We start from the raw sequence: 24,337 nt of genomic DNA, 5'->3' as shown, positions 1-24,337 counted from the left end.
TATTTTTAAGTCAATTTTATTCTTACTTGTATCTTTACAGAAAATGGCACAGAAATCACAGGTTTCGAATACCTAGAAGTTATTACAGTTCCATATTTCAAACACCTCAATATCAAGTTTCTTTCTTCTCACTCTATGTACATTATTTACACACCAGGGGCTATAGTCTAACACTTCAAACCAACAGGGACAAAGACAAGAAGAACCGGACTAGGGGGAGGGAAGTTCCATAAATGGAATGAAGAAGAAATCAACTTTTGATATGGAATTAAAAAGTTGCAACGCACTGTCTCAGGCCATTCTCTAACGAGGTATTCCCTGCAAAGGTGGGTGGGGTGGTGGATAGGTGGATGGGGTCGGGAGCCTGGCCTGGGAATCTGGATCGGGCAGGTCAACAGGGCTATGTGCTCCCATTGTTCATGCGAATGGAAAAGGCCAGGCCGGAGAGGTCACCATACACAGGTCCACCCATCAGCCAGCAGAAAGAAGCCCCAGCTCCTTATTCCATCATGGTTACCGTGTTTTAGTCTAGTGAACGTGCTTCCTGGCATGCACTGGCATGAAGGCGTGTGTGCCTGCAGCTTAGCTTGGGCTTACTCCTGGCCTTCTGCCTTGCTTTCCTTCCAGCCTTTTTCCCATCCTTCTGAACAGGTCAAAGGCTTGCTCTGAGAGGTGCTCAGCCCTAGCCCCTTAGCCCCCTGTCTGTCTGGAGTGAAGGTTTCTCCAGCAGGCCCTTAATGCGTATGCATAGCCCCAGGCCTACTCCAGGCTTGGCTTCTCAGTTGAGGCCAGGCCTGTGGCTTCGTAGATGTCATTTACCAGCCAGATTGGGTTGTTCAAGGCAGGGCACATGTGAACTCATAGTTTGCAAGGAGCTGTGGGGGCAGGTGCCTTCATGGCAAGTCAAGGTCACAAGCAGCATATCACGAGAGTCGAGATTCTTCAGGACACAGGCTCAGGGGCCCGAGGACCCAGGGTAGAAGGTTTGGACTCCTGAACAGTGCAGTGAACCACAGCATTTGTGAGGCATAGGACATGGACTCATGGCACGCAGCGTACATCACCACATGCCACATAGGTGCCTGTGCTGGGAGGAGCCAGTGGGACAGGCTGGGTGTGGAGAGGGTGGGTTCCTGAGGGTGACCATGGCGGGGCATGAGACCAAGGGTGGCTGAGGGGCCCAGGCTGAGACTTCCCAACTGTAGCCTGCCATCTGGACTCCACTGATGGGTGGGGCAGAGGCTGGGCCTGCCTGGGCCTGCACAGTGTCTTCACACTGTGGAAGCCCAGGCCCAGCCAGGTCTGCAGGAAGGAACAGGCTGAGTTGGGAGAAGACTTTTACTGAGGAGTGGGGTGCTGAGGACGCTGGAGTTGCAGTTCCAGTCCTCCGTCTGTGTCACAGCCATGGCAGGCAATTCACAATGCATTTGCAGCAATGGGCTTTAGGCATGGGCAGAGCAGAATGTAGAGCTGGGAAGGAGGACTCTTTAAAGCAAGAGAACAGAGAGCAAGGGGTGGCCAAAACCAGTGAGCGTTGCAAAGGGATTGAGAGAAGGGGCTTGAGGGGACGTTGTGGGCAGCAAGAAGGCTTCTGAGGCTGGGATGCTGGAGAGGTCAAGACTAGATGAGGGATGTCTCAGCATGGTCCAGAGTCAGAACCCAGCGGTGCCTGCAGCCACCAGGGGTGATGGAGGACCTGTGGGGAACAGGGAGGATGGCAGAGGCCAGGTCTGGGCCTTGCCTCAGAGAGCATCTCCCAGCACCACAGGGCCCGAGGAGAGCAGAGTCTTGGGGCTCCGGCATCTGAGCGCGCCTTGACCTAAGCCATGTCCTCCAGCTGCGGTGGACTGAGCCTCTCCGCCGGCCTGTCTTCATCCATGGCCTCCTCCTCCTCTGGCTTCTCGGTACTCCGGGCCAGGCTGTCCGGCCCAGACACAGTCCCCAGCACTTTGGTGCTGTGCTCCTGAGCTTTGGCCCGGAGCACCGCAATGCTGTTCTCCCTCAGTTCCTCCTGGGAGATGGCCGCCTGAGCGTCGGGGCCCCGCTCGTCCTGCTCCATCTTGTCGAGCTTGGGCAGGGCCTGGCGTTCCCCCTCGGGCTTCCTCCCCGACTCGGCTGCTGCCTCCAGCGACTTTTTGTGCATCCCTAGAAAGAATTGTTGGTATTCGGGTTTAGAAAAGCGCCTGGGAAAGCCATCTTGAACTGAAAACGGCAAAGATAGAGAGAGGCCAGAATTAAGGACGAGCAGAAAGCCTTACTCCCCACACCGCAGTCACACAAGTCCCAGGGCTGGACCAGGGTCAGGGAATGGGGAGATGGGTCGCCAGCCCTGTGGAGGACCTCCCCCTGCCAAAGCCCTGGGCACCTGGGCCTCGGGTGGCCTGTTCTGTCCCTTCCAGGCCACAGCACATGCTCCCCTGTCCCTCCCCCATGGGATTCCGGATCTTAGAACCCCAAGAGGAGCTGGTGCTGTTCTCAGATATAGGCCCAGAGGGCAGGTGGGGAAGTTGGCAGGTGGGGAAGATAGCAAGTAGAGAGATTTGGGGGACAGAAGTCCTTTGGGCTAAGCAGAATGGCAGCCAGAGGGACCTAGGGGTTCTCTCAACCCCCAGGGAAGACTGTTTTGTTCAATATAAACCCACCTCTGGCCAAGGGGAGAGGAGGGTACAGACCCCAGGCCAACAGCCACACTGTTCTCACAGGACAAAATAATCCACAGTTAGGGACTCGTTCATGATGAGAGTTCTTGGCACCCAGTGCAAGTGACAGACACCAGGCCCCAGGCCCACCCTGCTCTGAGTCCCCCAGGATAGACCAAGAGGTTTGCTTTGAAGAATTTCTCTCCTGCTAGGCTGCTGTGGCCCAAGTGCCCCTGCCTCAAGGCTCTGTCCCCTCCTCCAAGGAGCCCGCTCTCCTCACCGCAGGGCAGGACCCCAAGGAGGGTGCGGGCTCTTACCCAGTAGCCACGGGGCACAGGAGTCCATGATGCCATCCTTGGCTGACTTGAGGATGGACTCGGGCAGGGGGATGGAGTGCCGCACCATGGCCCCGTAGAGCCCATACTCCGCCATGACACTGCTCCGGCCCCAGCACTTCTCCCGCTTCCTCCACTTGGCTCGACGGTTCTGGAACCAGACCTGCAGGTGCACAGAACAGGTCAGAGGCTTGCTCTGAGAGGTGCTGGGCCCAAGGCCCTTACCCCTTGTAGGCTTGGAGTGAAGATTTCTCCAGCAGGGCGTCCTTAACCTAAGCTCGCCTACTCCATGGTGCCCTCTGTGTTCCTCCAGGCTCAGGGAGTATTCAGAAGGAGGACATCAGTCTTATGAGAATATCATGGGTAGTTCTAGGGAGATGGGGTATGGATGCTTCCTGGACAGGGTCTTGCAGGTGCGCAGGACCCAGTGTCATCGACTGTTTGCAGCTGAGAAGCCTGCCCTGCCACTGATGGCTCTCTTGCATGTGTTCACACCTCCAGCATATAAATCTTTTTTTCTGATTTGCAGAGGGACAAATTCCTTTCCCAGCACTGGACTAGCAGTGTCTCTGGCTCAGGGCTTCCTCTCTGCCAGAAGCCCAGAGTCACAACCATCCAGGAGGGCTGCAGGTGAGTGAGGGATCAGGGACAAAGGGCAGGGGACAGTCTTAGGGGCACTTCACCCAGGTATCAGGAAGGCTGGGAACTCAGGGAGGGAGACTCCCCTCGGAGGCCTGGGTCAGCCTGCCTCCTCCACCCTGTCCCAGCTAAGCTCTGCCAAACCACATGTGCCCTCCAGGTACCTGCTCCCCACAGCTCCGAGCCTAACTCTGAATAGTATTTGGGGAGCTGGACCAGGGATGAAGATAACATTCTCCAGGGTTGAGGAGCAAATGGGAGGAGGGACCTGGGAGGGAGTGGGGGCGGAGGAAGCACTAGCGAATGTGTCTCTGGCCCCAAAGCTGATTGGTGCAGGGTCTGAATGACAGTGGGGTACCCTGGGGTGTCTGCAGCACTCTAGCCCATTCTAGGATCCCAGAATCCCTGCCAAGTTTGAGGAGGGAACATTTCTTGGTCCCCCAGAGCAGCTTTCCGGAGATTTCCCGCAGCTGACAGAGCCGGGAGCCCCTCGCATTGTCCGCCAAGGAGGTCCAGGCCCGCGGGGTAATGGTGCGCCCCAAGCCTGGCGGTTCCCTTCTCGCCCCTCACAGTCCTTAAAGGCTCAGACCCCGGGGGCAGCGAGTCGCCCCAGGGAAGTCGAGGGAGTCGGGAGGGGAGGACCGAGGCGGGCTTGGGAAATCTGTTCATTTCCTCCCGATTTCCTTGCCTGGGTCTGGGCCGGCGCCGCCCTTCCCTCCGGGCCCCCTCCCCCGCGGCAGAGGTATCAGCTTTTAATGAAAAATTGCTCCAGCTCTATTCAGGAGGCGGCAAAAGAAGAGTCACCCCCAGGGGCAGCCCTGGGCTGATTGAAAAATAAGTTAATTTCAGTTTGAATCGATGGGCCTCAGGCACTGAAATACCACGGGAAATTAAAGCGGCTGCTCTCCCGGGAGCCGCGGCATTGACCCGCACTAATTAATGCTGGGGAGGCAGCACTCGCCTCGTCGCGAGCGCCCCCGCTTCCCCGGGGACCCCCAACTCTTCTCATTTAACTAATTAGACGGGGAAAATTGGGTGTTAATTTGTTTAGGATTTTCCCCCTTCCCCCCGGCAGCCCCTCGCGGCCCCCGCCCCGCGCGGCGCGGAAATGCATGCGGGCTCGGCGGCAGATGGCTGCCCGGGTCACGCTGCAATCTCCTCCGACTTGATTGCTTGATTAGGTCGTTAGCACATTAAAAAAAAATTGCTTGCCGTCTGGCGCTGGCGTGATGAGTGGGACGCTCGGCAGCGCCTGGGTAATTTATCTTTTTATACGGCGAAGAATTTGATTTCAATCTGCAGATATATGGGGCGCCTTTGACACCTGTTTAACATCGCGCCGCTGACAGCTTAACCCTTCGCTTCCTGGGGAGCGGGAGCTGGGGCCGGCGGGGCTCGGGGGAAGTGGGTGGGGGGTGGTCCGCGCGCTCCTGCGGTTCCCGCCGTTGCCGTCAGGTGGCGAAGTGAGCGCCCGGCGGCGCGGAGTCTGCGGCGGAGCGCGGCCGGCCAATCCCCGGCAGGGGCGCTCCGGCCCGCCAGCCTCGCATCCCACGGAGGTCACAGAACACTGCACGCGCACCTTTAAGTTGACCCAAACGCGTGTCCTCTGGCCTTTATTCATTTGTAAATAACTGGGAGCCTCTAAACATGGGAGCTACACGGCCTTAGATGCCCCCGGCCTCTCCCGCCCCGGGTGGCTCCATCCCCGTTTGGGCAGCACTTTTGCTGCCTCCGGGTTTGGCACCTGCAGTTCCCGCGCAAAACTGGGGGGCTGGGAAGCACAGGTGCAAGGCCTCTGCCTGGTCCGGACCTGACCACCCTGGGAGACCCCCGCCAAGGAAAGGGTTTGTGTAATCCGAAGGCCGCTAGATGACTGTCCTCCCTGCCCTGAAGGGAGTGGCAGCAATGCCAGCCGTGCTAACTCGGGCCTGCGTCCCGGCCTGGCTCCATGCCGTATGTAGATCTCCCCAGCGCCGCGGGCCTGTGCTGCAGGATGTGTGCCCGACTAGCTGTGTTACCCGGGGCCTGCGGTTTGTCTGGGGCCTCAATCCTGCCCCATCATCCTCCCCTTAGCGTATCTGCTTGCTGCAAGCTGCTTTCTCCCACAGAGGAAAAATCCAAAAGGACTAATCTACATAAAAGTATGACTCCCGGCCTGGCGCAGTGGCTCATGCCTGTAATCCCAGCAGTTTGGGAGGCCGAGGCGGGTGGATCACCTGAGGTCAGGAGTTTGAGACCAGCCTGGCCAACATGGGGAAACTCCATCTCTACTAAAGATACAAAAATTAGCCGGGCACGGTGGCGCACACCTGTAATCCCAGCTACTCAGGAGGCTGAAGCAGAAGAATCGCTTGAACCTGGGAGGTGGAGGTTGCAGTGAGCCGAGATCGTGCCACTGCACTCCAGCCTGTGCAACAGAGCAAGACTCTGTCTCAAAAAAAAAAAAAAAAAAAAAAGTATGACTCCCGGTTTTATCCACCTCTCAGAGAAGACAGCAAAGAATGAATCCCCTGGTGATGGAATTCCAGACACCAAGTGTGACCACAGAGGGCTGGAGAGGTTTGGTTCATGAATATAAGAAGCCACCTACTTCCTGGTCGGGTGACAGTCTGTCCTGCTTGAATACAGTGCATTATATTAGGTTGGTGCAAAAACTTATTGCAGTTTTTGCCATTGAAAGTAATTACTTTCGTTTGAGATGGAATCTTGCTCTGTCACCCAGGCTGGAGTGCAGTGGTGTGACATTGGCTCACTGCCACCTCCACCTTCCGCATTCAAGCAATTCTCCTGTCTCAGCCTCCAGCGTAGCTGGGACTACAGGTGCCCGCCACCACACCGAGCTAATTTTTGTATTTTTAGTAGGGACGAGATTTCACCTTGTTGGTCAGGCTGGTCTCGAACTCCTGACCTCAGGTGATCCACCCGCCTTGGCCTCCCAAAGTGCTGGGATTACAGGTGTGAGCCACCGTGCCTGGCCAAAAGTAATTACTTTCAATGGCAAAAACCGCAATGACTTTTGCACCAACCTAATAAAACAAGGCCACAACCCCTCAACTGGCATCTGTGCAGCCAGACTGGAGAATGTTTTGGATTTAAGAAAAAAGATGTGATGCATAAACCACAGTAACATAATGTCCTGCAGCAGCAGCACCTCATGATCAAACCCATCAGCTTCGATTTCTCAGCAAAGCATTTATGTACATGTTCACACTAAAAACGATAAATAAATTCTGTAAGGTCTGGTCCGGTTTTTGCCATCACTGAGTTTTGATGCCAAATTTATAAAAGAGGGTTCTGTTTTCAGTGCAGTTTGGACTTAGGGTTTCTGGAGAAGGCATTGTGGAATATAGAAAGACAGAGATGCCCCCACCCACCCAGTGTGGATACCTGGCAAGGTGCACTGCCCTGGCTTCCCCAGGAGTTCCATGAATACCCATGCTTGAGATGGCGCAGTTTCTCAGATGGAAACAGCATTTTTAGGGTACTAAAGAAGGGGGTGCAGACTCGGGATTCTGATCATCTCTGGGGCCTATAAACAGAACTATTTTCCTGGGTCTCCTAATTTGGGCAAATGAATATCTGGCTGATCTGTAGATCAGACTTTGCCCACAGACTCTCTCCCAGGGGAGCCAGTGCCAGCTGGTCGCTCAAACCAGAAGTCATCCAGACCCTCAGTTATGGGCTCCTGGAATGCCTGGCTCTCTGTGAAGACCAGATGCTGCTCCAATTTATAGAGGAAACCTGGATGGCCAAAACAATTTCTTTCTAAGACAGTTGGCAAGGATGCTATGGCAATGGTGCCTTGGAGGGAAGTGGACAAGGAATTAGAATTAACCCTAACTGCTCTGTAAATGTCCCTTTCTATTCCCTTCCTGGAAGCCACCAGCCTGTATATAGAACTGAAATATTTACCAGAAGCATTGAGGCCAGCCAGTCCTGACCTGGAATTCCCAGCTCTGAAAAATTGCTGTGTGACTTTGGGCAAGTTACTTGACTTCCCTCAGTCTCAGTCTCTCCAAATGAAAGATAAGAATATCCACTTTTCAGGCCAGGCATAGTGGTTCACGCCTGTAATCCCAGCACTTTGGGAGGCCGAGGTGGGTGGATCACAAGGTCAGGAGATCGAGACCATCCTGGCTAACACGGTGAAACCCCGACTCTACTAAAAACACAAAAAAATTAGCCGGGTGTGGTGGGGGGCGCCTGTAGTCCCAGCTACTCAGGAGGCTGAGGCAGGAGAATGGCGTGAACCCAGGAGGTGGAGCTTGCAGTGAGCCGAGATCATGCCACTGCACTCGAGCCTGGGCGACAGAGCAAGACTGCGTCTCAAAAAAAAAAAAATCCACTTTTCGGGGTTTTTGGAGGATTACATGAAATAAGTGAGTGCCTAAAATCAGTGTTTGTCATACAGAAGGTGTCCGATAAGTGTTAGTTTTCGGTAGAGACACTGAAAATAAATGGGAGCCTACCCGGAAGGCAAGTTAATCAATGGCATTGCCTGGCCCTCTGGCCTCCTTCACATGCCCTTCAAGGCTGGACTTACAAATAATAATAACAACAGTCCAGGAGGAGGGGAAGAAAGATCCAGCCTTTGGCTGTATATTCAATACAGATAGCCTCTACTTCCCCCTTAGGCATTTGGAGAGCTAAACAGGTGTTCCTGAAACTCTCCCCACATTTCTTTTCTTTTTCTTTCTTTTTTTTTAAATTTGAGACAGAGTCTCGCTCTGTCTGTCGCCCAGGCTGGAGTACACTGGCGTGATCTTGGCTCACTGCGACCTCCACCTCCTGGGTTCAAGTGATTCTCCTGCCTCAGCCTCCCAAGTAGCTGGGATTACAGGCACCTGGCAGCACGCCCAGCTAATTTTTTGTATTTTTAGTAGAGTCAGGGTTTCACCATGTTGGCCAGGCTGGTCTTGAACTCCTGACCTCAGGTGATCTGCCCGCCTTGGCCTCCCAAATTGCTGGAATTACTGGCGTGAGCCCCCACGCCTGGCCTCTCCCCACATTTCTAATACATCCCAAGCCCTTAAGGCTCCAGTACAGGGGAACACCTACACAGTGCCCATACTCCCTGTGAGTGGACTGTGGTGCAGCAGCTAGAAGCCCTAGACTGGGGATTTCTGCTCTGCCTCTAGGTGCCTTTGTGGCTATGAGTGCATTTCTTTTTCTTTTCTTTTCTTTACTTTCTTTTTTTGACGGATTTTCGCTCTTGTTGCCCAGGCTGGAGTGCAATGGCGCGATCTCAGCTCACCGCAACCTCTACCTCCCAGATTCGAGCGATTCTCCTGCCTCAGCCTCCTGAGTAGCTGGGACTACAGGCTTGTGCCACCATGCCTGGCTAATTTTGCATTTTTAGTAGAGACAGGGTTTCACCATGTTGGCCAGGCTGGTTTTGAGCTCCCAACCTCAGGTGATCAGCCAGCCTCGGCCTCCGAAAGTGCTGGGATTACAGGCGTGAGCCACCACACCCAGCCAAGTGCATTTCTTAACCTTTCTGAGCTTCCCATTCCTTACCTGCCCTGTGACACCACCTCTCTGCAGGTTTCTGGTGGAAATTAAACAGCGTGTGGGAAATGCCTGCCACATAGTGATAACTGAAACACACTGGCCTGATGCTTGATGAATTCTGTGGACAGATGTGCAACAAGCTTTGCTTTCTAGCAAATGTTCTAGGATACCTTTCACGTAAAACCCTATCATTTTATCTCCCACCTTTGATATGTCTTCTCAGCATTTAGGCTCCTTTTTCTAGGTGGACTGTTGGTTCTGACAAACCCACAATATTCCTTTGATCCCTCTCTCACTCACTTTCCTGACCGCTCACTTTCTAGAAGAGACTGCTCCTCTCACATGGGAGTCTGGTCCCAAGCTCTTCAGAAGACCCTGCGTCAAGGTGCCAGCGAGGACTAGAGCCCTGCCTTATACTTCAGTCAGGGTGCCAGGTGCCTGAAAAGGGGCCCAAAGTGACACCCAGGGCCACCAGATTTGGAGTCCCAGGACAAAGTGAGTTGGGAGGGCCTTCCAGTTTGGGAATGACCCTGGGTTTCTCTTTTCCTTTTTTTTTTTTTTTTTTTGAGATGGAGTCTCACTCTGCCACCCAGGCTGGGGTGCAGTGGCACGATCCTGGCTCACTGCAACCTCTGCCTCCCAGGTTCCAGCAATTCTCCTGCCTCAGCCTCCTGAGTAGCTGGGATTACAGGCACCCGCCACCATGCCCGGCTTATTTTTGTATTTTTAGTAGAGACAGGGTGTCACCATGTTGGCCAGGCTGGTCTCGAACCCCTGACCTCAAGGTGATCCGCCCTCCGAGGCCTCCCAAAGTGCTGGGATTACAGGTGTGAGCCACCACCCCTGGACAAGCCTGGGTTTCTTGATACATTTCTCCTCAGAGGTATCAGCAGTGATACCCCAGCAGCAATCAGAAAGCCCAGGTTGGCCAAGCGCAGTGGCTCATGCCTGTAATCCTAGCACTTTTGGAGGCCGAGTCGGGTGGATCACAAGGCCAAGATATCGAGACCACCCTGGCCAACATGGTGGAACCCCGTCTCTACTAAAAATACAAAAATTAGGTGAGCGTCGTGGTGCAAGCCTGTAGTCCCAGCTACTCAGGAGGATGAGGCAGGAGAATCGCTTGAACTCGGGAGGCAGAGGTTGCAGTGAGCCGAGATCGTGCCCCTGCACTCCAGCCTGGGCAACAGAGGGAGACTGCATCTCAAAAAAAAAAAAAAGAAAGAAAAGAAAGCCCAGGTTGTGTGGAAAGACTGTGGCTGTCCACAGTTGTCTGGCAGGTGCCTCCACAGCAGGCACAGAATGTGCCTGTGCCTCGAAGGAAAGACTGGGCCCAGGGAAGGACTTCTTGCCAAGTGGATGCAAAGGCACAGCTAGCAGGCCAGGAAACCCTGTCAGCTCTTTCTCGACGTGGGCAATCAGCAGGAACAGCCGAGGCCATGCCTCACACCTCCTCTTGTCTCTGCATCATCACATAGCTGCTGTCCTGCAAGCTCCCGCCCTGGCATCGCCACCAGAAAACATGCCCAGGGTTCCATCCCTCAATCATCTCCCAGGAGACCCTCTGCAGTCCTTCCAGGATCGCCCTCCTAAATACCTCCTGAAGGAGACATTGTGCATGACAGATGCCCTTTGCACATTCTGGTCTCCTCGCTACCTCAGGCCCTGCCCTGCCATCTTGCCACATGCCATCAGGTGAGCGTCCATCACTTTCCCCCAGTCTCTTTCTTCCCCTCTGGCTGGAAGCTGATGAATTTGGGCTCATCGCTGGCGTGACTTAAGGGCTTCACACTCTGCACCCACTCAGCACTTCGCCCGCGGTTTATTGCAGCGCGCTCTGTGCAGCCCAGCCTAAGGCTCAGACAAGTGGAGTCTTGCTGCAGCCTCTGTTACCCACTAGGGGGCAGCTCCGACCACATTTCCAGACAGCCTCTTGCCTGAGCACTGACATTCCATTTCCTTCCTCACCCCAAACCCCTGCCACCCAAAACGCCACTTTCTTCCACTCATATTAACCCACTCAGAACAGAAACAACCCTCTCCTGAGCCTCCAACCCAGTGTGTTTACATTCACTGCACACAGAATCACCTAGAGAGATTTAAAAGCATACAAATGCCAACGTGAAGAGGTTTGATTTTTTGTTGTTGTTTTTGTTGCTTTTTTGAGACAGAGTTTCGCTCTTGTTGCCCAGGCTGGAGTGCAATGGCGCGATCTCGGCTCACTGCAACCTCCGCCTCCCGGGTTCAAGCTATTCTTCCGCCTCAGCCTCCTGAGTAGCTGGGATTACAGGCATCCGCCATCATGCCCGGCTAATTTTTGTATTTTTAGTAGAGACGGGGTTTCACCATATTCGCCAGGCTGGTTTTGAACTCCTGAACTCAGGTGATCTGCCCACCTTGGCCTCCCAAAGTGCTGGGATTACAGGTGTGAGCCACCGTACCCGGCGTAATTTTGTATTTTTAGTAGAGACGAGGTTTCATCATGTTGGTCGGGCTGGTCTCGAACTCCTGACCTCAAGTGATCCACCCGCCTCGGCCTCCCAAAGTGCTGGGATTACGGACGTGAGCCACTGTGACCTGCCGAAGATGTTTGATTTTAAACCAATTAAATCGGAATTGCTGGGTGTTGGCCGGGGGAGCGCATGGGCATTTTAAAAATCTGCCCTGGGGTTTGGCGCGGTGGCTCACGCCTGTAATCTCAGCATTTTGGGAGGCCGAGGCGGGCAGATCACGAGGTCAAGAGATCGAGACTATCCTGGCTAACACGGTGAAACCCTGTCTCTACTAAAAATACAAAAATTAGCCAGTCGTGGTGGTGCGCACCTGTAGTCCCAGCTACTCTGGAGGCTGAGGCAGGAGAATTGCTTGAACCCAGAAGGCGGAGGTTGCAATGAGCCGAGAAAAAAAAAATCTGCCCTGGTGATTCTAATAACCATCCTGAGATGAGATCTGTACAAACCCTTCCCTACTCAAGCACCCATCTTCTTAATTCTGGAATATGACCCACTAATACTTTGTTCCCTACCCTTAGGCAGGGGCCACTTTAGAAGAGGCAAAGTCACACAGTGCTCGGCAGAGAATCTAAACCTCAGCCTTCAACATACACGAGACTTCTAAGAGGGGTGAAATGTAGTCTCTGTTTACTTCGAACATTCATAGTTCTGTAATGTTTGCATTTTATAACAAGCACATCTTAGAAAAAAAAATAAACACATGAATATATATGTAGCCTGCCCTCACAATTCTAGTAACAAGTGACCCCTCAGAGGAAATTAAGTCAGTCTGGAAACCCACCTTCTCTTCCCCAGGGCTGATAGCTGGCAGGGACTTCCAGAATGCCATATCCTAGCATTTAAAAAAAAAAATTTTTTTTTTTTTGAAACAGGATTCTGCTGTGTCACCCAGGCTGAGGTGCAGTAGCACGATCACAGCTCACTGCAGCCTTGACCTCCTGGACTCAAGTAATCCTCCCACCTCAGCCTCCCAAGTAGCTGGGACCAGCATGTGTCACCACACCTGTTAATTCTTGTATTTTTTGTGGAGATGAGGTTTTGCCATGTTTCCCAGGCTGGTCTCAAACTCCTGGCCTCAAGTGACCCTCCGACCTTAGGCTCCCAAAATGCTGGGATCACAGGCACCAGCGTTTTATTTATTTATTTATTTAAGACACAAAGAAGACGGTGTGCCTGAGTCTGATGTGGAGACATAGAAGCTTTTCTTTCCCCAACACTGCACCATAATCCTCCACCTCCAGCCCAGAGCGATGTGGAGTGAGGACGTGTTTACTCTCCAAACACAAAGGCAGAGGAAATCATCATGCCTTTCTGCTGGGACTGGTTTGTCATCACTGTTCTTTGCATTATTACAGTTTGTATAGAGAGGCATTCATGTCTATCTCATAGGATCTCATGTCACGGTAGCTGAGTACTGGGTTTGAATCCCAGTCTTACTTTACCTCTCAGCCCCTCAGTTTCTTCATCTAGAAAATGGGTGTAGGAATGACAGCTAACTAATTTGTCTGTTACGGATTAAATGAAATGAAGCATGCCGGGCATGGTGGTTTACACCTGTAATCCCAGCACTTTGGGAGGCTGAGGTGGGTGCATCATTTGAGGTCAGGAGTTCGAGACCAGCCTGGCCAACGTGGCAAAAACTCGTCTCTCTAAAAATACAAAAATTAGCCAGGCATGGTGGTGGGCACCTGTAGTCCCAGCTACTCAAGAGGCTGAGGCAGGAGAATTGCTTAAGCCTGGGAGGCAGAGGCTTCGGTGAGCCGAGATCACACCACTGCACTCCAGACTGGGTGACACAGTGAGACCCTGTCTCTAAAAAAAAAGAAGAAAAAGAGAAGAAACGAGGTATGGAAAGCACTTAATATCTGGGACAATGGTGAGTACTTAATAAATGCCAGTAACAACACTGTTTTTATTAAGTTAGCATTATGAAAAAATATTATTATCTTACAAATGAGTAATTTCAGACTCAGGGTTTGGCTTGCTGGCAGTGAAACAAAGACTGGAAGTAGGTGTGTCTGCCTTTCCGCGTCTACATCGCAGGTTCTCATCAGACATCAGACAGTAGACTTCAGACATGCAGGGGTTTCTTGGCTTGGCCCAGCAGGGGTGTATGCTCCAGCGGTCCATCTGGGCCTGTTAAACTTAACCTGCCCTGCACCCCCATTCTACCAATGGCAGCCCAGGGGCTTGTGGTGGGGGAATACTCAGGAGGCACCTCCCTGGAAGGGATCTCACCTCTTTCTTCTACAGATGGGGAAACTGAGGCTCACAGATGGGAAGTGGCCTAGCCTCTGCCACACCAGATGTCAGTTGGAGCTAAAATCCGGGTTCCTGATCTCCAGTTCAATAACCTTTCCATTCCAACTTGATAATTTCTCTCTGTTTTTTTTTTTTGTTCGTTTGTTTTTGAGACAGAGTCTCACTCTGTCACCCAGGCTAGAGTGCAGTGGTGCGATTACAGCTCACTGTAGCCTCTACCTCTTGGGCTCAAGTGGTCCTCCCATCTCAGCTTCTTGAGTAGCTGGGACCACAGGCTTACATCACCATGCTCGGCTAATTTTTAAATTTTTTTTTGTAGAGATGGGGATTTCACTATGTTGTCCAGGCTGGGCTCAAACTCCTGGACTCAAGGAATTCTTCCACCTCAGCCTCCCAAAGGGCTGAGATTACCGGCATGAGCCCCTGCACCTGGCCAGGAATTTCTTTTCTTTTCTTCCAAGACAGGGTCTCGTTTTTGGTTTTTTTTGTTTTTTTTTTTTTTTTTAGCCTGGTCTCAAACTGCTGGGCTCAAGCAATCCTCCCACCTCAGATTCCCAAAGTGCTAGGATTACAGGCCTGAGCCACTGCGTGGCCGAGAATTTCTAACTCCAGACTTGGAGCCAGTAATAACTTCCCCTTTCCTGCTCGTCTCACCTGCAGAGTCCTCTGACCCAAAGCTAGGCTGGGAGGGGGCTGGCTCAGGAGTGGCGGCCAACACGTGGAGGGGAAATGATGGGGAGGGAAGTCAAGGTAGAAAAGCAAGGGTTTTGGAGTCTAAAGAGACTCAACTCTGGCCTCTGTCTGTGCCTCAGGTTCCCCATCTGTCAAATGAGAGTAATAGCCCCTAGCTCATGGGTGTTCTGAGGACTCTGCTGAATATACATGAACTAGCTCTGTGAGGAAATGAAAGACACAGGTGGGCTGCTGGTCGAGGGAGGGCGAGGACTTGCTTTTCACCCTCTTGAATTCATGTACAGAATTTGCCCATTCAAAAATAATTTTGTTATATAAGTGAGTTTTGGGCTGTTTTTTTTTTTTTAAACAGTGCCTGGTACTCAATAAACATTGATTAACTTTACTGTGATACAGGTCCCCCGCCTGACTTCAAATCACCTATGCTCCCCCAGCTTCAAGTCAAAGCAAAGACTTCAAACAGAAGAGGTGGGCAGTGCCACTGTGGGCTTTCGATTCAGAGTTAGGTTTGAGTCTTGTGTCTCCCACTTACTAGCTGTGGGGCCTGGGCAAGAGGCTGTGCCTCAGCTGCCTCAGTTCTCAAAGGAAATTCATGGTCTTCAGCCCCTGATTGTCACCAGGACTTAATAAGATCAGATCTGACACCGAGTGAGCTGGGGGCACGTGCCAGGCACTGCCCTGAATGCTGCACACATATGGCTCATTACCTCCACACAAGAGGCAGGTGCCACTGTCACCCCCATTGTACAGATGAAGACTGAGAGGCTCTGGCATGTGAAGCCCGGCCAGGAGCCCAGCCAGTCTGGCCCCAGAGTCAGTGACCCTAACCATGGTACCACCCTGCCTGTCCTGTGTACATCGTGAACTCAGGAGAACACCTGGCACATGGAAACTCCTCTGGAAACGATCGCTGTGACTGCTATTGATGCACACCAAGATCTTTCCCAGGCCACTTTACTGAACTGGGGCAAGAGGACTTGACAACTCACAGACAGCTTCTGGGGGTAGCATTCAGGCATGTGGTGCTCAAAGGCTCTGAGACTCTTTCCTCATTTCTCCGATATCCACAAATTGCAGAGCCAATCCTCACAGTCCCAGGGCGATGAGCTCTCCTCATCCCACACCCCAAGCTCCTTCCTGCTGGTTCTGGTGCCCTCAGATACCACCTTATAGGCAACCCCCAAGCAACTTAACAAAGCCCTGTTAAGTTAAATGTGCCTGTTGGGGCATTCGTAGCAATGCAGTTACAGCTGAGGGAGAGCCTGCCCCCAAATCCTGAGCTCAGCAGGTTTCAAACACCTCATCCACCCTCCCCCACCTAATCTACCAAGCAGATTTCAGGACAACCCACTGCAAGAGACAAGCTATTCCTTCATTCTGGTCAATACCGCAAATGTGGGGCCTGCCAACAGCGGGGATTTGTCATTGCTCCTCCCTGCCGCAGCCACCTGGAATGGCCAACTTTATGCTAATGAAGGCCAGGCAGGGGTTACTGCCGTGCAGTTTAAGGCTTGGCTTACACACACGCACACACGTGCACACACACAATTCAACATCAACGCCCAGCTTACCTCACAAGAACCCAATTGGGTGGAGGGTAATGGGTCCAGGCCCCCATGGATAATGCACCAAACATAATCTGCTTATGAATAATTGAGCTTATTGTTAGTGTCAATGTCTAAAACCATCGGCTGAAATTCCAAATAGATTTCCAGGGGAGAGGAAGGCCTCACAGCCTCATTTCACATTCTCTGGTCCTCCAGTGAGAGAGTACAGAGCAACCCACACACCTTACTTGGCTCCCCCGGCCTCCCAGGCACACATCACACCTGGAGATACAAGGAACCTAGACTGGGGAGGAGACGCAGAGCAGAGCAGTTCCAGGAAGTCAGGACCAGCCCCTGGCCCACACACCCCAGCCTCCGCAATGAACTAGCTCTGGACCGCTCAGGCGATGGGAGCAGCTTTCATTGAAGGTTGAGCACCAGCTAAGACAACCCCAAATCTTCTGGAAATGTTCCTCCCACCCCACTCCTTCTGCCTCATGGAGGCCCTGCCCAGACTCCATCCTCCCCCAGAGAAATGATTCCACAGCCCTACTCCTGCCCAAGTAGGGGACTCTGGACTTGCCAAGGTCCTGCTGCCGCTAAGTGGAGGCCCCATGCCTACCACATGCCCAGATCAGTGGCTAGTTATGCCACAAAACTGCCCAGGAGAGGAGGAGGGCTTAGTGAGCCACCTGCAGGGCCATGCCCCAGCTCACATCCTAGGCCAAACCTGGGAGAAGAAAAGGAGCAGCAGGTCAGGGCAGCAGTTGCTGGGCTGTGTGTGGGAGGAAGGAGCCTTAGGTGGATGGAGTGGTGGGAAGCAGGAAGAGAAGGGGTAACACTTTCATCATGGGGAGGGGAGGAGAGGGGAGGGAAACAGACTGGGGTCAGGACTAGAAGCCACCTTCCTCTTCACAGCTACCCAGAGGCCTGGGGCACCCTCTGGCCTTGGAACAGACATTTAGCTGTACCAAAGGGACCTCCGCCTCAACAGAGACCCTGCCCAGGACCGGGGGCCCCTCCAGTACTCCACCTCTCATCCCCAGACCCCCGCAGGGTCTGTCTGACATACTCCCCGGGAAGCCTATAGTCTGGAACAACAGCCAGGTCACAACTGGGTGCTTCTCATCCCCCGACAGCACCCACCTCATGTGGCAGGTGTTCAGCTTAAATAGGCTGAGAACATGATCATAGGCAAGCACATGCCCACAGTGGGGCTGGGAGGCGGGGTCATGGGCATCTGGAACCCTGGAGTGGTAGATGTCACCGAGAGAGGGGAGAGTGGAGGGGAGAGGGGCTCAGGGCTGTTACCTGTATCCTGTCTTCCGGCAGCTCCGTTTTCATGGCCAGCATCTCCCGGGCATAGACGTCTGGGTAGTGGGCTTCGTTGAATGCCTTCTCCAGCTCCTCTAGCTGGTAGGAGGTAAAGATTGTCCTGAGGGGAGCAAGACCGAACACTCAGGACCCCAGAAACTAAAAGAGCCTGTCTCAGACAAGACAGAACCGCCTTCCTCTGTGTCTCCTGGGCAGGCCCCGAACCCAGGCTGGCTCAGCACAATAGGACACAAATTCTCTCTCTCTCTCTCTCTCTGTCTCTCTCTCTCTCTCTCTCTCTCTCACACACACACACACACACACACACACACACACACACTTTCTCTCTCTCTTTCACACACACACACACACACACACACACACACACACACACACACACACACTTTCTCTCTCTCTCTGTCTCATAGTTTAACCCTCCGGACTCTTCTTCCTCAAGGCTGAGGGCTCACACTACCCTTCCTGTGTTTGGGGGGTGGCCATTATTTCAGCCCTCAGTGACATTTCACACTGGGAATCTTTCTGGAGGTGCTCTGGGGGAAAGGCTGTCCCAGAAGAAGGACATTCTAGAAAAGCAGAAAGCCCCTCTTCCTCCCAAGCACAGAGAAGAGGGGCTTACCAGATTACTAAATAGCCCAGCTCCACCCAGACCAGCTTCCTGGGCCCCTCTCACAGTCACTAGAGCTGAATTTTTGAATGCCTTTCAAAGTTAGAAGATTCACCGGAAGGTCAAATGCAGCCTCAACCTCAGTGTTTATACAGCAGAGAACTGAATCTCCCACTCCCTCAACTCCCCCCAGCACCCCTTCCTCCTCCCCTGCCCTTCCTCGACATCACCCAGACCTACCAGCCTCCCAGCACTGCCCCGAGCCTTTTCCAGTCCTATTCTGTGCTGACAAGGGAAGGGCCACCTTCCAACCATCCCATACTTGCAAGCTCAGCCACTCACCTGCAGGGGGTTCCATTCGGGCCACCCTGAGAGCCCACAGGCACAGTTCCCCACCCCCAACAGAGCAGTTCATATGGATCTATTTTGTGTTATAAACTGCTTTAAGAATCTGGTAAAAACTACATTCTCTCACCTTAGGAAAATGGGCAAATAAATAGGCCCCAATTTGTAAAATTTTGCCTCCAACATTAGGGGATTCATAGGTCCTCTTTCTTGAATAAACCGCTAAACACCTACTTCCAGACACAAACTCTTCTCTTTTCAAACCTTAATTTCACCAGGTTTTGGGTGGTCTTTATCCTGAAACCTCATTAACAAGCCAACAGGCAATATAGTCCAGCGTCCACAAACTGAACTGGTAGAAATGGTCCAGCCCTTGCCTGGTCCCCTGGGATCAGACTCTGGCGCCAGCACAGGGGTGTAGAATCCCTTATTGCTGGGCCCTCACCCTCGTCTAACACAACCCAAAAGTACAGATTTGAACCTCACACAATCCTTGTGCTGGTGTCCACTTTAATATCTCGGGGGATAATTCAGGGAAGAAAGATTGTGCTCTTTGCAGAAAATGACTGGTTTGATTCTAAATCGTTTCTCCTATTCTCTGGGGGTGGGGGGTGATGATGTGAAATGCTTATGCACACACGAAGTTAATTCTTGAGAATTTTGAAGATCTGCTGCTTTTTCGCTTCTGCCATCTGCTGAAGGGCCCATGGACAGAGCATCAAAATAAACAATAAAGAAATTCAAGTCCTTTCCAAAACCAGGGAAACTGAGGCACAAAGGCAGTCAAAGAGGAGAGCCGATTATAGGTCATGTAGAACCATTCAAGTCTCAGTCCCTACTTCGGAGAGCCCCTCTTCAAAAAACAAAACAAAAACTCAAATCTCCCAAACTTTCCCTAATTCATGCCTCAGAGCTGACACACTTCCCCCATAATGTGACCCAGCCTGTGTTCCTGGTTTATGCAGAACCCCAGACCCTTCAGGCTCCTGTTGTGTCCAGTCTGAAGAGGAGCTGAGCTTTCCCAGTAGAGAGAAAGAGCAAAATCAGAGAGACTCTCACCGTGGCTGCTTTGTCCCCACGCCACCCCCCAAACGCTTTTAAGTCTGGTTTGTTTCTGGGAGATAAAAATAAGCCCATCTCTCATCACCAGATTCCAGGGTCTCTTACCCCAAATCCCCAAATGACAGAAGCTCGAGTAAAATGTATTTTTTCCTAATTAAAACAAGCACTTGAAATCCGTAGCCATTCTCCTCTCTCCAATAACCTTCTCCCTTCATGCAACAGAAATAGAAACCCCAGGCAGTTAATACCCGAGTGTTGGTGAGTTGCTGTTCTGCCCCCATGAAAACCCACCAAAACCCCCAAAGGTGTTCCTGGCGAAGAGAGTGACAGATGAAAACAGACGGTCACTAAGTGCCATGCAGTGAGATGTCCTGATGCGGAAATGCCATTCCTGTACCCAGGGTTTGGGGATGCTTTTTCCAGGGCTCTCCATGCTGTGGGAACCCCTCCCACCCCTCCTGGCACCAGCACAAGGGCAGTTTTGCCGGTCTCTGACCTGCCCTCCCTGCAAGGTCCCTGTCCCTGCCTGGGGAAGATGACAAGATTACCCACCCTGGGACCCGCGTAAGATGGGTGCATAAAAAGTGTTTTAATGAATATTCGTTGAATGAATTGAATGTAAAAAAAAAAAAAAAAGACCAAAGATCAAGACCAAAAAAATTTTTCTTTTTCCTTTTAAAATAAAACAATACAAACTAAACAAATGCAAACAGCTGCCGGAAAAAGAATAGACCGAGATCCGGAGAAACCAAGTCGAAGTTCACCTGCATTCAAGCCAAAACCTATTAGGGCCTAAGGGGTGAGGATAGGCCGTTTTAAAAGGTGGCGGTCAACAGTGGAGTTTCCCAGGGCCAAGGAAGAACGAAGCATAGAAAAGCGCAGAGAGGGTGCAAAGAGGCTGAAAACAAATTAGGGTGGGAGAAAACGATGTGGCGGCGGGGGTGCCAGAGAACGCCCTAGTGGAGAAATGTCTTGAAAGGGCGCAGAGTCTGTGGCGGCCCCACCTGATGGGGACGGAGTGGGGTGCGGGGAAATAGCTCCGAGGTGAGCGCCGGGGCAGCACCTGCGAGCAGCACCCGCAGAAAGGCAGGCAGATTTTTGGTTCTTTCTCCTTTATTTCCTTGAAAACCACCTTACAAATGTACCCAAGGAACTGGTAGCAGTGCGGCTGGTGCGGAAGGGAATGAGGGCGGGGGTGGGAGAAGGGTAGGTTACTTTTCAAGATATACCTGTCGGCATCTACTGAGTTTTAACTTTGTGCAAGTAATTTCCATTTAAAGACAAAAACAAAACAAAACAAAACAAAACAAAACCCTTTCTAGTCTGTACCCCGATGCAGTCCACCCTACTCCAGCTACGGCTGGTGGGACCGTCCAGTCTACATCGCCTACCACTCCATTTTGCAGACGAGGAAACTGAGGCTCACAGAAGGGAAGCGACTCGGTCAGAATCACGAATGAGCAGAAGCCAAAAGAAAATGCTCTGTCAGTGCAGAGATCGCTCCAGCTTTGGAGAACGGTGGGAGCAGAAAGCTTAGGGAGTTGGCAGAGAGGACAGGGACCCCGGGAGAGAAATGGGGGCGGCGGTTGAGGCCGAGGGCAAAGAACCGGCTCTGGCAGGAGGTGGGAGCTAATCTGCCCGCCGCCGGGTCTGTGTGGCTCTCAGAATGTACTGGTGCGGGGATCTGGGGACCGCCCCCACTCTGTGGCTCAGTTTGGCCTGTGTTGGAGCCTTTCCTTTCTCCTGAACAAGGAGGAGAAAGCCCGAACCGGGCCGCTTTCCCGGCGGCCACTCATCCTGCTCAACCGGTGCCGACGCCAAGGCCCCCGGGCAGATTCCGCCAAACAACCCGTGGTCTGCGCCCTGGCACGGCCTCGGACCTCAGATCCGTTGTCGGCGAAAATAGGGTCCGAGAGACCCGATCCCGGAACGGGGGACGGCAGCGGGGTGCGCGGGCAGGAGAGGTAACAGAAAGCGGGGGCCTCACCTGTGTCGCCGCTTCTTCCGTTTCTTGGTCTGGTTTAAAGCAGATTTGGACATTTTTCGATCGCTGGAGGAAACATCTTCAGAATCTGAAAAGCGGGCGTAGGGACATGCGGCAGAGTGGGGGACGCGCTCCGCTGTGCCCGAAACCCGCGAGGGCCCCACCCCGGGCTGCCTCCGCGAGCGGCGGGGACCTGCTCTGTCTCCCCAGGAAGCCTGCGGGCGCCCCGGTGGCCGTCCCATCCCTGAGCTCAGGCTGACCTCTCCCGCGCCGGGGCCCGAATCCGGAGGTTTTGAACAGATTTCGTTGTAAGAGAGGCAAAGGCCCCGGCGCGCTTGGGACCGGGACGACGGAGAGCGAGGCAGCCTTAGGGGGCCGCAGAGATCCCCGGCAGCGCTCGCGACCCTGCTGCGCCCTGCCCTGCGCGGCCAGCCCCAATGCCCCGGGCCGGAAAGTTGGCCTCGAGGAGCGAGGAGCGGAGCGGAGGCGTGGGGAGCTGGGCTCCGGGAAGACTGGGGGCTGCCGAGCACCGTCCTTTTCGCAAGGCGGCACAATGCGTCCCTACTCGAGGCCCGAGAGCCTGCGACGCGCTGGTTTTCGTTGCCTTTCCACGTAAAACAAAGTAAAACGCAACGAAAAATCGGGGGAATTGCCAAGCTCAAACAGGAATCGGAGGTTCGAGCGGGCCGCGACACACCTCCCGGAAAGCAGCGCGGGGAGAAGGCGGAGAGGTCACCCAGGGTCCCCGAGCCCGCGCGTCCCCGGGCTCCAGTATATAGTGGCGCTTACGTGGGAGAGGATGGCGGCCGCTTTAGCTGCCGCGATGGCCGGGTTGTCTGAGCTCGTGGGGGTGAAAAATAAACCCCAGTTGACCAGCGCGGGATTTGGGAATCAGACAACTTTGGACACCAGGGATGGGGCCGGAGCCGGAACAGCATCGGGCTCGAGGAGTGCGGATCCTACACCAGGCCGGGGCCGCAGTGGAGCAGCGGTGCTGGGGCCCTCCGACACGGCCGGCGACTCTGCACCACGGGCTCCGACACCCCAAACCCAGTTTTCAGTGGGGCTCCAACAGAGTGCCGTGGCCGAGCCCTGCCCGACGCGGGGACTGGAGAACTGCGCGGCCGCCCGAAACGCTTGGGGCCGAAACCCTGCGGACGCCGAAGCATCCTCCCGGGCCCCATCACCAGGCGCGTCGGCCCAAGGCCCAGGCGGCGACCCCCGGCCTGGCAGGAACTTTTCCGCCTGGAGGCCTGGTCCAGCAAGCGAGAGCCGACGGCGCGGGGCTCCCGGCTGTCGCCCCCCAGTCAGGCAGCAGCGCAACCTCTCCTCACCTACCCGAGCTGGCCGTCTGGCTGGTGTCCAGCGGCCCCGATGCTCTGCCCAATGGCTGCAAGTGGACGCTCTGCGGGTCGGACAGCACTTCCAGGAAGGTGGGCTGCGTGTAGAAGCCAGGGAGCCCCCCGGGCCCCAGAAGCCCCATGCCGCCCACCCCCGCGGGGCTGAGCACTGAGCGCGCCGCCAGCAAGTGCCCGGGGGCCAGGCCGTCGAGCGCTGCCCGCGGGTGGGAGCTCGGGGGCTCCTTGTTCAAGCCCAGGATCTCCTGGATGCCGAACCCAGTGCACCTGGCCGGGGCGCCCCCCGAGGTACTCTTGGCCACTGTCTCGGATTTGGGCTTGCTCAGCGCTTCCCCTGCTTTCCCCGTCATCTCCCTGTTCTTTGGAGGGGCTGAGGCCGCAGGTCTTTAGCTCCCCCCACCCCCCCGCCGGGCTTCCCGCTTCGCGAAGTTGGTCCCAGGTGCCCCCTCCGGTGTCTAATGCTCTGGAGCCCAAGGAGATTCCCCTTTTATCCAACCAGGCGGCAGCCCAAGTGGGGTCAGAGCTGAGCAGCCAATCACCGGGGCCAGGAGCGATTAGGAATTCCAAAAAGCTGGCAGCTCCCGCCGCAGGCAATGTCGAATGGCCAGGGTGCTGGGGGTGGAGCACCGGGTGGGCTCTGCAGGATGCCCATGGGCAGGGACCCCAGGGGCCGAAGTGAGACAACCAGGTTCAGGTTCAGGGCTGTTCCGGGAGGCAGAGTGGCTTGGGGCTCTGGGCAGATTCTGGCAGGGACAGGTCCCTGAGGTCAGGTGGAAGGATGGGCTAAGGGCAGAGGTGAGAGACTGGGAGACCTCCTTCCCTCAACTCCTATGCAGGTTGGCAGCATCAGGGCGGCCTGAATATGGCACCTCTGTGTAAACGGTTGAACAAGGGAGAGGTAAGTGCTGGGGCAGTGTGTGTGGTGGTAAGCTGGGAAAAGATCAGGCCAAGGTGTGCAGAGGGTGATGTAGGGGTAGGGAAAGTTTGCTTCCCCAGCACAAGGTATAATGCCTAGTTCGGAAGAGCTACTCAACACATATTGGCCCAATGAATGAATGATAAATGGGTCAGAAAGAGGGGTCCCTGGTGGGAAAGAGGAACAGTGATGATTACTTTTGGAGAACAACCATGGACATCCAAACCTCTTCCTAGAGTAAGCATGAAGCATGCCCAACTTTCATGGGAGGACTTGATTCTTCCACCCAATTCATTCGACTAATATGTATTGAGCTACTAGCTCCGACCTGGTAGCCAGGGGTTCCGCAGTAAATCAGACAAGGCAAGGGCCCTGCTATACTTCAGAGTTCATTGAGCAAACAGAATGAAGAGGAAGGGATTGTTGATGTGGAGGGAGAGGAAGGAGGAAGCGGGTGAGAGGAAATTAAAAGGTAAGCTGCTTTCCCCTGCACTCCACCACCTCAGCTAACTCTTCTGTGACCTTCTTGGGGCTGGGAACTATCTTATCGACCTTGAGGCTCCCTTCTTCACTGCGCCTAGCATATGGTCAGTT

The 24,337-nt window shown here is 53.8% G+C and overlaps 1 protein-coding gene across 1 annotated transcript, besides 4 other annotated features; it reads right to left on the bottom strand.

Moving 5' to 3' along the window:
• VSX2 (visual system homeobox 2) lies at positions 1–23,290 on the bottom strand. The gene is made up of 5 exons (NM_182894.3): positions 22,808–23,290; positions 21,473–21,557; positions 17,451–17,574; positions 2,957–3,137; positions 1–2,145 (listed from the first exon to the last, which is right to left on the bottom strand). The coding sequence occupies exons 1-5, from the start codon at positions 23,175–23,177 to the stop codon at positions 1,820–1,822; spliced, it is 1,086 nt and encodes a 361-aa protein (NP_878314.1). The 5' UTR covers positions 23,178–23,290; the 3' UTR covers positions 1–1,819.
• Positions 5,029–5,208: a silencer, noted in NCBI's record as "silent region_5928". NCBI's record gives its function as "represses an Ori minimal core promoter by ATAC-STARR-seq in GM12878 lymphoblastoid cells {active_cell/tissue: GM12878}" and the evidence as "EXISTENCE:reporter gene assay evidence [ECO:0000049][PMID:35858748]".
• Positions 10,952–11,111: a silencer, noted in NCBI's record as "silent region_5927". NCBI's record gives its function as "represses an Ori minimal core promoter by ATAC-STARR-seq in GM12878 lymphoblastoid cells {active_cell/tissue: GM12878}" and the evidence as "EXISTENCE:reporter gene assay evidence [ECO:0000049][PMID:35858748]".
• Positions 16,630–17,131: an enhancer, noted in NCBI's record as "H3K4me1 hESC enhancer chr14:74712311-74712812 (GRCh37/hg19 assembly coordinates)". NCBI's record gives its function as "activates a minimal SCP1, AML or CMV promoter by ChIP-STARR-seq in primed H9 embryonic stem cells {active_cell/tissue: H9 hESC(primed)}" and the evidence as "EXISTENCE:reporter gene assay evidence [ECO:0000049][PMID:30033119]".
• Positions 20,974–21,939: an enhancer, noted in NCBI's record as "H3K27ac-H3K4me1 hESC enhancer chr14:74707503-74708468 (GRCh37/hg19 assembly coordinates)". NCBI's record gives its function as "activates a minimal SCP1, AML or CMV promoter by ChIP-STARR-seq in naive H9 embryonic stem cells {active_cell/tissue: H9 hESC(naive)}" and the evidence as "EXISTENCE:reporter gene assay evidence [ECO:0000049][PMID:30033119]".

This window comes from Homo sapiens, chromosome 14 (genome assembly GCF_000001405.40).
Source record: "Homo sapiens chromosome 14, GRCh38.p14 Primary Assembly".
In the NCBI taxonomy this organism is placed as follows: Eukaryota; Metazoa; Chordata; class Mammalia; order Primates; family Hominidae; genus Homo; species Homo sapiens.
This window is presented reverse-complemented; position numbering and strand designations above follow the sequence as displayed.